Raw genomic sequence first — 11,654 nt, forward strand, 5'->3', positions numbered from 1 at the left:
AAGACTGAGGCAGGAGAATTACTTGAACCCAGGAGGCGGAGTTTGCAGTGAGCCGAGATCACGCCACTGCGCTCCAGCCTGGGTGACAGGGCAAGACTCTGTCTCAAAAAAAAAAAAAAAAAATTAAGAGGAAATATTCAAATAGTAACAATATATCTATATAAAAGCAGAAAATGCAAAAAAGAAAGCAAATATTACTAATAAACAGTATATCTGATTGACATACTTTGTGCATACCACCACCATTATTTCATAGGCTAGCTATGATATGCAACCATGAGAGATACTATGTGTCAACTCCCTGACCTAAGCAATCACCCAAACCACAGGGGCAAGAAGCCTGGAAACAACGCTTCCCAGACTCTCTGGCTGGCAGGCTTCAGGTTAGATTCTACTCTCGCTTGTTTGGGGGATGCAGAAGAGAAGGAGAAGCCAGTGTTTGAGAGGCAGGACAGGCCAGCTCGCAGCAGCAGCAGCTGCTCCTGTGGGGTTCTGCATGGCGTTCGGGCATCTCCTTGAGAATCTCCCACTTTGATGCTGCTGGAAGCGGACACCATTCATGGCCACTTCCCCGGGATCTCTGAACTTCCAGATTTCAAAGTGGCCTTTCTGCCCTTTCTTCCCGCTGCTCTTGTGAGGTCATGAATGCCTCTAGTTCCCTGTATTGAACCTCTCTTCCTTCTCTAAATACCTAGAGTGGCTTCTGTTTTTCTGACCAAACCCTAATACAATAACATGCACATACAGTAACAAGATCATTGATCACCCTCAGGTTCAGGGAAGACACAGTATCTTGAAGTAGGCATTTGAGTATGTGGGCTTCCAAAGGCTGAAGACAAAGCAAAGCAGATCTTGCCTAACTACCAAGGCTAAAACCACATTCCTGTGCACCCCGATTTCTGTCCTGTCAGAGAAAGCCCACAGGTCTTCATCTGACCGTGACAAACTTCAGTGAGGCTTTTTTGTTGTTGTTGTTTTGTTTTTACCAGGATGAAATCAGCATAGTGAGGTAATAATACTGCTGGCCTGTGGGTACTGGGGCTCATGCAACATGAGAAAAACAACCATTACCAAGGCATCAAGTTGGTAGGTCGAGTCCTTCCACATGTGAAGGTGCAGTAAGTAGGGCTGGGAGTAAATGAACAATAAAATGCATCCTTTATGGTGCAAAGGACAGGAACGCCCTGCATCAAGGAATGGGGAAACAGGGCAAGGAAGACAGCTCAGAGCCAATGAAAAGAAAACCTACTAAGCACACAGTGTTGTGCTGGTCCAGCGGTTCTCTCCATGTTTTTGGTCTTGAGGCCCCTTAAAAATTATTGATGGCCCCAGACTTCTGTTTATGGATCATTATCATTTTATAAATTGAAGCTGAGAATATTTTAAAAAGAAGAATACACAGCACACATCCCAACAGCTGTCAGAGCCAGTAGCCTTTGGAAACCATGAGGGTGAGAAAATGAGAGTAAAAAGACAAATAACATCTTGGTATTTTCATGAAAACAGTGTTGACCTCAAAGCTACCCTGAAAGGGTCTTGCGGACTCCTGGACCACACTTTGAGAGCCACCGTGCTAGGCTGTTGATTCTAGTCTAGCTCATTTCATTCTCTTAACACTGAAATGTGTGTGATTACTATACCCATTTGACAGGGGAAGAAACTAAAGATCAGAAAGGCCTAAGTAACTTGCCCTAAGTAATCTTGCAGACCAGGATTTAACCCTGCTCTCTCTGCCTCCAGAGCCTCCGTTGGAACAGAGGACTTGACCATGGGAGGGCCAGGCCCAGGAGGGATTAGCTGGAGAGTCCCCAGGCGGTCACAAGGGTCCCCGCAGTGGGAGGAAGGAACCGTCGCCTCGGGAGCTGACTGGCCATGAGAAACTGCAGTACCCAGGCTTACCCCCACTGCGAAATGGGCCCGCATCCTTGACATTATGGTCTGGGAGAGGGAGGCAGCCTGGAATGGAGACCTGTCCGCCAGCGCGAGCTTTGCCATCTGCTGATGTTGAGCGCTTGGCCAGGCACCCCTAAGGGGTTGGGCTAGCGAGTGTCTTAGAGCAAAACACCATGGGGACTCCCCGCCAGCCCTGAGCTCTCAGTCCTGTATCCGGACTAGAATCTCAGGGTTGTCTCGTCAGCTGAGGGTGGGAGATGGGGCTGCATAGCCTGAGAGGGAAAACAGCTCTATTCTCACTAGCCCACATGGGCAAAGATCAGCCCAGAGAATCTGGGGCCTTTTCCAGGACCATAATAGGTGATTTCGCTCCAAAGCCTGCCAGTGGGATTATCAGTTTAAATCCACCGAGAGTAAGTTTTGTATTAGAATAGCATTCCATAGCTACTGCTGGCCTTCCACTGGGGAGCTCTGTTTCCAATCTCAAAGATGTCAAACAATTTTAAAGGCACAGAAGCTCAGTTTTACCCAGCCGGGCAGGCAATGGCAGAAGGCATGTGACTGCCAGCATTCCCACAGCAAATGCACAATGCAGCTTCACAACAGCCCCTACCCCAACCCTGACCCCAGACTCTGGTCTCTATTCTGCTTCCAGCTCCAAGACGGGCTGGAGGAACAGCTGGTCCAGAAACCTGGGGTGCCCATAACTACCCACTCAGACCTTCTGTGGGGTGCATGACTGTCCACGTCCTCAGGGAGGCCTGCATTTGCTTATTTAGACACCTAGCTCCTGGGCACACTCTCTGGAATCATAGGCCACTGCCAGGTCCCCCATGCCCATGGCCACGGCATTTCCTGCCAGCCTGGCATACTCCTCATGCCACCTCCCAGGCAGGGATGGCCACCCTCTATGAGCAAAAATAACACTAACAATAGCTCGCATTGTGAAGTTCTTCCCACTGCACACTTCTCATACCCTGTCTTGCTGGAGCTTAACAAAAACTTTACAGGGTTTGCAAGTGATAGCCCATTGTCCTTCTTCTTTATAGATGAGGAAGCTGAGGCTTGGTGCATGAAACGGGGTGTCTAAGGTCACTCCATGGGAGAGCTGGCACTAGGTCCCAGGTCTCCGTCTCAGCCCAGGGTTCCCTCTGCTGTCTGGCATTTTTGGGGTGAGGTGCAGAGCAGAAATGGTGCAGGGCACTGAGGCTAGAAGTGTAGTGAGCCCAGGGCCCCTCTCTTGCCTTTGTCTCATCACTGGTGGCCACCAGCCATGAGTCCTCGAGGGATCATTCTCTGAGCTTAGAAACACACAAATCAGGAGTTTCAATCAGCTAAGCAATGTTTCATTTTAATTTTCTTTTCTAAATTTAAATTTAATTAAATATTAAATTTAAACTTAAATGGAGAGATTTAAATTTAATACTCAAATCTCTCTCTCCCTATGCCTCCTGTTCCTGGTTTCTGGAGTAAAGAGCCTGCCTTTGGCCATCTCAGGAGCATTGGTGGGTGAAGCTCATCTTTGGGATCCTTCTTGGGATGTGGCCGTGGCCTCTCAGCAGGTTATTTAGCAACACGACTGGATGAAAGAAACCCTCCAACTTTCCAGACATAATGTAATAGGCCCTGTGTCCTCCCTTCCTGGGCTTGGGTCATGATGAAAAAGAGGGCTAACCTCACTTTTGGGACCTAAGTGAGGTTAGCCCTTGTCTTGGTAAAGCCACTTCTGGGAAGCAGCAATTTGCCCAGACCAGTGGTAAATGTTGGGGTGGTCCTACCAGGCACAGGCCTGGATGACCTCCAGGGCTCCCCGCCCCCAATTCTGCAGTGGTAGGAGGCAAGCCTTAGCACTTAACAGGCTGTTGCTGGACAAATGGGGCCCAAAGCAGGGGGTGGAAAGGGTCAGGCAGCCAGAGGGAGCCACATGAGGCCTCAACAGTGGGATCCCAGCTTGATCCAGGTGCCATCACCTCTGGCTCTTTACCCAGAGGAGTGGTGTGCAGGGAAGGAATCTCATGCAGCCTGGCCGAAGACACTGGGCTCCACATTGAGTTGCTCTGTCAGGAAAGACCTGATACATGAGTGTCACGGAACAGTACAGAGGACCCTCCAACCAAAGTCATGATCTCGCCACTCAGGGTTGGCTGGCTGTCCCAGCAGTTACAGGATTCTGAAGTGGACTTGGGGTGGAGAAGCACTCACATGGGCGCTCAGAGATTCTTGCCTCTAGTAAAGAGGAACCTCACACGTCTATGTCCGGAGAGATTCCGCTAAGAGGCTGCTGGAGCCGCTCTCTCGGGCTGGACAGAGAGCTGGTGGGTGACTCCAACCTTCCTTTGGGGGCCAGCTCCTCCCATTGCCCTGCTAGGAAAAGTCCTCGGGAATCTAAGGAAAGGCACTGTACCAAGCAAATGGCTCAGCTTTGTGCTATGAAGGCCAACCTTCCCCTTGACATCAACTCCTCTCTTTAGACCTGTGTACTCAGCCCTCAAGCTCCCGTGGCAGTGTGAGAACAGCACGCTTTATCCTTCACTCTTGGCCGTTTGGGTGCTGGGGTTGGCAAAGGTGTAAACTGCTTCCTGCGTCACCATTTGTGAATCAGGGGCTGATGGCTCACAGGCCTAAGGTGATCAGAAGCAGGTGGGACAGCAGGTGAGTAAACAAACGGCTGCAAGAGAATGTGATCTGTCCTTCATGGAGGCGAGGACAAGGTGCTGGGAGAGTGGGGGTGGTCATGACTAATGCTGTGGGAGCAAAAGAGGCTGTGAGGGCATGATGCCACCATAGTCTGCCATGGGTACTGCCTGCTTAGAAGGCTGACAGACATCTGGGGAGGCCCGGAGAGGTAAATGGGAAGACAAGGGCTAAAAGGAGGAGTCAAAGGGCTGCCCCAACATGTTAATAACTCCTAATATGGCTCCCTGGGTGGCAGGCCTGACCCTTGCCCACTCCTGAGAGCAGATTCTCAGAACAGGCTTCTAATGAAGGTGTGAAATGAGTCAGGGTCATTGGGTGCAAGTAACAGAAACCAGTGGGCCCATGTAAGCTAAGAAGGAATCTATAGGGAAGATGTTGAGGTGTTCACAGAATTGGCAGAACTTTTTGGAGAAGCTGGGCTTGGAAAATAGATAGGAACCAAGAGAGGCTGGACAGCAGCCAGCAGGTCAAGCGCACGTCCCAGAAACACCTGCCATTGCCAGAGGTCACTTTTCAATTATCCCTGCATCTTGGCATCTTTCCTCCAAGGGTCGAAGTTTCAAATGACAGAAACATGAATCCCAACCCCCGCATATGGCTGCCAGAGGGCAGGGAGCAGGCCTTTCTGGGTCCTGGTGTCTGGGGAAGGGAGGCCTGGACGCCTTAGGGACAGACATCTGGCTTTTCTCCATGCAGCCTTGCAGTGGCTAGAGAGCTGCTGACTTTGGGGATTGGGCAGCAGTTGCCAGGAGGAGGCATCCATTCTCCGAGGGGTTTTACTCCTCCTAAGCTATGGAAAAGTTCAGTAACAGCCCAGGGTTGGAGGCATCCCAGGGTCCCAGGTTGGGAGAAGGGCAGAAGTTACTTTTCTAGTTTCTGCCTTTGCTAATAACTAATTCATTTCTTTCTATGGCTTTTTGAGAAAATATCTTGTTATCATCTGTATAGAGATCCTACTGTGTACAGCACAAGGTAGAGGTAGGGAAATCCTAAACAGAGCATAATGAGGACTCCTCTGTAAAGGAATTTTCATGACTGAAATGTATTAAATGCCTACTGTATGCCAGGTGCTGGGTTAAGTACACTTTTATGTGGCAGGGAGAAGAATATATTCTAAAACCTTGCTACACACTATATGTAATAACCTGAAACTGGAAGCTACCCAAATGTGCACCAACACTAGAATAAATTATAATAAATTAATATATTGGAATACTGTGGTACAGCAGCATTCTTGGAGCCTGGTCTGCCCCTGTGGGTCCCTGTGATCCTTTCAAGGAAGCTGCAAAATCAAACCTATTTTCATAATAATTCTAAGATATTATTTGCCTTTTCCACATTGATGTACAAAAGCAATGGTAGGTAAAACTGCAGGTGACTTAACACAGATCAAACAATAGCACTAAACAGAACTAGTAGTCATTGAATTATTCACTCCCATACATCCTCACTACAGATTTTCCAATTTCACTGAAGATTGCATCTTGACGAAGCAGTAAAAGTTATTAATTCCAGTCAGTCTCAACCCTTGAATGCATGTCTTTTTAATATTCTGTGTGACAAAATAGGGAGTTTGCATAAAGCACTTCTGCTAAATACTGAAGTACAAGGGACGTCTTGAAGAAAAGCATTTGTGTGATTGTGTGAGTTGCAAATGGAACTAGCCGCTTCCTTGTATGTGATTCTTGGTGTGCAAGTGCAGCGACTCTTTGTTTGGGATGCAATTTCTAGGTCATAGAGTATGTGGATGTTCAACTTCATGAGAAAATATCAAACTGTTCTCCAAAGGAATTATTAGACCTTTACAGTTTTTTGGCCAAATGAAATGGTCTTTCATTTTGGTCTGGATTTTTGTTTTCCTAATCATTAATGTGGATGAATGTTCACTGGCCACACAGATTGCCTGCCACTGCTAATTTTGAATCAGCCTAGTCAGCTAATGTCACAGAATACAGCAACATGAGCACAGGTGGTACTAGTCAGGGATGGGAGAGGTGGTTTAGTGCGACCGTATTTAATGTGTTATAAGATGCCATCAGTTATAAGATGCACCATCAGCTTAACACAGATTTACTGAAAAAAAGTCATATCGAATTAAACACTTTTTTAAAAACAACTAATATTGTACTGTATCAGTCCATTTCACACTGCTATAAAGAACTGCCTGAGACTGGGTAGCTTATAAAGGAAAGAGGTTTAATTGACTCACAGTTCCGCAGGAAACTTACAATTATGCAGAAGGTGAAGGGGAAGCAAGGCATGTCAGGCATGTCATACATGGCAGCAGGAAAGAGACAGTACGCAGGGGAAACTGCCACTTTAAAAACCATCAGATCTCTGAGAACTCCGTCACTATCATGAGAACAGCGTGGGGGAAACTGCCTCCATCATCTGATCACCTCCCACCACGTCCCTCCCCCGAAACGTGGGGATTACAATTCAAGATGAGATTTGGGTGAGGACACAGAGCCAAACCATATCATGCACATTTATCTGTATAATCATATAGCATTTTCTTTTTTAATATCACCATCGACTCTAAATTTTTTTCACATTTACAGTCTGAAGACTCTTCCCAGTTGAGGCAAGTACTGTCATAGAAATGTAGACTTATGGAACCTGTACCCGTGAACTTGACATCCTGAGTATACTTAGTAGAGACAGTTAATATGCCAGGTTTTGCATGCATTTCCTATTTGGTTAAACTCATGGTTTCATTTTCTCTGCAACTGAATTACATATCACTGGAAATTTGGAAGTCACCCAGATACTTTTGACAGATGGATGTGCAGTATCTAGTGATAATCTTTCACAGGGCACAAATTAACCACAGCAGCCTCTCCCAGCTCTCAATTCTGCAATCTCCTTGGAAAGATTTAGCTAAGTTTGCATAACTCAGTGATGAAAACCATGTCACAACTCATTCCTCTATTTGCTGCTAGTAAATTTGGGTTGCCATCAATTAAAAGACACAACCCAATTTCAGAAACGTTCAGAAGTGAAAGAGTGTGCATCTTATTTTTCCTCTAATTATCTAGTAATTAAATTTTAAATGTGTATATATATGTGTGTATATATATGTGTGTGCATATATATAGGTGAGTGTGTGCACGTGTGTGTGTGTAAGTGTAGCCAACATTTATTAAGCATCTACCAGGTGATAACTTCCACGACTCCATGTCAGGGACTCTCCATTTATTATCGTTAATCTTTACAGTAATTTTGTGAGGTAGGTAACATCCTCATTTTAAAGGAAACTGAGGTTCAAAGGGTCAAGATAACTTGACCAAGACTCATAAGCTGCAGAATCAGAATTCAAATCTAGGTCTATCTAACTTCAAGGCCAATAAGCTTTCTACCACGTTATGAATCTCTTTTTTAGGTACTAAATTCCATGGGCCACTACTAGGTAAGACCTCGAATGAATTATTGCCAACTCTGCCTGTTATGTTTCTAAGGTTGGATGCCTCCCTTTAGGAAGAGGTTACTGGCAGGGACAATGGAGAGATTTACAAAAGAGTTGAGCAATGTTAAAAATAACAACAAGGTATTTGCTCCTAATCCTGTTAAGCTCCTTTGAGCTCTGCGCAAGCCGAGAAGGGGAGGGCATGTTAATTTGCTTGCGTACAGGTGCATCTAAGGTTGCTGTTGCAATCTCCACATCTTCCAACCTTAGCCAGGGCTTGGTGTCACTTTTTCTAGTGTTCATGGGTGCAAAACCCTGATTTGTTTTATTATGATGAACAATCATAAAACTGATGTGCTAATGTCAATAAGGAGGCTCAGTTTCAGCCCTGGAAATGTACTTCTTTTGATTAAGAGTGCCCTGGCCAGGCACAGTGGCTCACACCTTTAATCCCAGCACTTTGGGAGGCTAAGGCGGGTGAATCACGAGGTCAAGAGATCGAGACCATCCTGGCCAACATGGTAAAACCTCATCTCTACTAAAAATACAAAAATTAGCTGGGCCTGGTGGCGCACACATGTAGTCTCAGCTACTCGGGAGGCTGAGGCAGGAGAATCACTTGAATCCAGTAGGTGGATGTTGCAGTGAGCTGAGATCGCGCCACTGCACTCCAGCCCAGTGACAGAGCAAGACTCCGTCTCAAAAAGAAAAAAAAAAAAAAAAAAAAAAGTGATGCGTGGTGGTGTTGAATCAGACTCAGGGGTTTGTATTTTTTTCAGTCTCCAAATTACATACAGGTCCATTTGGAGCTTCTACAGACCTGAAGAGACCTGGGGGGCGGGGGGAGGGTTCTCTAACATCAGATACAACAACCCCTAAGCTATCTTGCACAAGTAAAAACTTGTGGGTACTCAGACTTTGCTGAAGGAGAGTGTTCCTTCATCATCCTCAAATGCATGGCTTAGTTTGGCCAGTCACAAACTTTTCATCACCAAAAACCCCATTCTATAACTTTTCCTGCTGGGCCTCTTCCTATGAAGTACTTTTATCCACCAACTTGCATGTTGGCTTTAAAAAATTCTCTATGAATTAGATATAATCAGCAGAAAAGAAATTCCAGCCAAAAGTAAAAGAACATGAGATTTTACTCAGCCTGCCAAGGGAATCTTATCTCAGGTAAAACATGATTTTCCTTAGGCTTTTTCTTGAAATGTGAAAAATAACTCCACAGTTCCACTCACTACCTTTTCAGATAAATCCTCAGGGGCCCACTGACCTGGATTTGAAACCACTGGTCTGATTTTCTGAACGCAGTTCACTTAACTTTGTGGTTGACCTCAGGACCAATCGTCACTCACTTTCCACTCCTGCCTTTGGATCAAGCCCATCTACACAGAAAACAAGGTACTATATTTCTTCAGTCCAGAGATACCCTATCAAACTTTTTCACCGAACTTTCCCCTCCCATCAGTAATTTGTGAGAGGTGTGGTTGCTCTCCATCTTCACCAGGACTTGATATTGTCATTATTTTTTTTAGCCATTCGAATAGGTGTGCAGTGGTTTTATTTTGCATTTTCCTAATAACTAATGATGCTAAGGATATTTTCTATGCTTAGTTGCCATCTATATATGTTCTTTGGTGAGCTGCCTGTACAAATCTGTTGCCCATTTTTTTGGTTAGGTTGTTTGTTATTGAGTTTTGAGGGTTCTTTATATATTCTGAATTTAAGTTATTTGTCAAATATATCCTTTGCAAATACGTTACCCTAGCCTGTGGCTTGTCTTTTCATTTCCTTAGCAGCGTCATTTACAGAGCAGGTGGCTTTAATTCTGATGAACACTGATTCATCAATTTTTCTTTTATGGACTGTGCTTCTGATATTGTTGTATCTAAGAAATTTTTGCCTAACTCAACATCACAAAGATTTTCTCTCTTAAGCTTTCTTCCAGTAGTTTTACTGTTTTAGGTTTGACATTTAGGTCTATGATGCATTTTGAGTTAATTTTTGTACAAGGTACAAAGTTAGGTACCTAGGGTATGGGCCAAGGGTCAAGATTTTTTGTTGTTACTTTTGCATATGGATATCCAATTATCCCAGCACAATTTGTTGAAAAGTCTATCCTTTCTTCATTGATTTACCATTGCATCTTTGTCAATTGACCACACCTGTGTGGGTCTATGGCTGGACTTTCTTCTCATTCCATTCACCAATACCCCTCTGTCTTGATTCATATAGGAGACGCCTATAGATGCCACCCCAAAATATGCCACTTTGGCAGGAGGATTGTTGTGAGCTGAAGGCAACTGAGAAAGAGCAGATACAAGAAAAGCTCTCTGCCCTCCCCTAAAATGTGCCTAAAAACCTAAAAGCAGGACGTAAGGCGTCTCTCCTCCCCTCTCTACCAAGAAAGATAAAGGTTGATTACTGAAGATAACTTTAAATCCTTATCAGTCTGAAGATGGCACCAGGGGAATCTACATAACAAACTCCTATTTATTTGCCTTAAGAGATAAATATTATTAACCTCATTTTTCAAGTGAAGAAACTAAGACTCAAAGAATTTAAGAAATTTGTCTAAAATAACAGAGCTTATCCTTTCCAGTGAATTTAAATCCATTATTTCTTGTCTCCAAAGTCCATGTTCTTCCCACTGCCCTAGACTGCCTGTGGTCCAAATCATTTTTAGTAGATATCAGTCTTGCCTACGGATGAGAGACTTCTGGGGAAGCTGCTAAAAATTAAGGCTACTAGAGTTCCCCCAAGACCAACTAAATCTGAATCTCTGGGACTGGTACCTAGGCCTGGGTATTTTTCAAAAGCTCCCCACTTGATGCTGAGCAATGGTCAGGGTTGAGAACACTGGACTTACCGCTTTCCAAAAGAAGGGTCCTCCTGCCCTCACAGCGCAGTGATCCGAGATGCCTGTTCCTTGGATTTGGAAGCAATGAGCAATGAATGCTTTGCAGGAGTCAACTGCTCCATCTGCTTTAGGCCTGGGAGGCTCAGGGCTATAAAAGGCAAAGCTTTCTCCTTCATTTATTAAATGCTAGTAAATCCAAGGAGTGTGTCATGGTATTTTAGCATCAACTTATCACACATGTTTGTGCTGGCTTATGGTTGCAATCCTGATGAAAAACAGGTGTAATTCCTCAAAGCTGCTGTTAAGGACTTAATGGGTTACAAAAGGATGCTAATAAAAACGTTGGATGAGAGGAATGTTGCCATTTCAGAGGATATGGTGGAACTCTCATTTCTCAGAGGGATTTGGCCTTCGGGGGCATATTTCAAAGCATAAAGCAAAGTTCCTTGCATCACCGTGGGAGGCAATAGCATCCTGGAGATGTGCTGTCTGGAGTAGTCTAGTGACTGAGACACAGAACCTGCTCGCTAAACTGACAGATTTAGGTCCCAGCCTCAGTTACTGGCAGGACAAAATGATCGCATTTTTAGGCTAGATCTTACTAAAGCTTCAGGATGCCTTTTTTAGAAGTTGTCCCACCCCAGATGTGACATCTAATCTGGGTAATATTTCCTTGCATGAAATGTCCCTATAACATGAACCATATTGTTGTTGTAATTATTTTAAGCTTAGTGTTTCCCTTTATAAAGTTAAAATCCACATCTTGAAAATTTAGAAGCTGCAGAACAGTAGTCC

The 11,654-nt window shown here is 44.8% G+C and overlaps 1 long non-coding RNA gene across 1 annotated transcript in view, besides 1 other annotated feature; it reads right to left on the bottom strand.

Moving 5' to 3' along the window:
- Positions 1 to 10,956, bottom strand: part of LOC105370854 (uncharacterized) — a 54,788-nt gene extending 43,832 nt beyond the window's left edge. Inside the window, exon 1 of the long non-coding RNA XR_007064671.1 lies at positions 10,869 to 10,956. This is a non-coding gene — a long non-coding RNA (uncharacterized LOC105370854). The remainder of the gene's footprint in view (positions 1 to 10,868) is intronic.
- Positions 2,287 to 3,125: an enhancer, noted in NCBI's record as "H3K4me1 hESC enhancer chr15:63167575-63168413 (GRCh37/hg19 assembly coordinates)". NCBI's record gives its function as "activates a minimal SCP1, AML or CMV promoter by ChIP-STARR-seq in naive H9 embryonic stem cells {active_cell/tissue: H9 hESC(naive)}" and the evidence as "EXISTENCE:reporter gene assay evidence [ECO:0000049][PMID:30033119]".
- Positions 10,957 to 11,654: the final 698 nt, after the last annotated feature.

Source organism: Homo sapiens, chromosome 15 (assembly GCF_000001405.40).
Source record: "Homo sapiens chromosome 15, GRCh38.p14 Primary Assembly".
Lineage (NCBI taxonomy): Eukaryota > Metazoa > Chordata > Mammalia > Primates > Hominidae > Homo > Homo sapiens.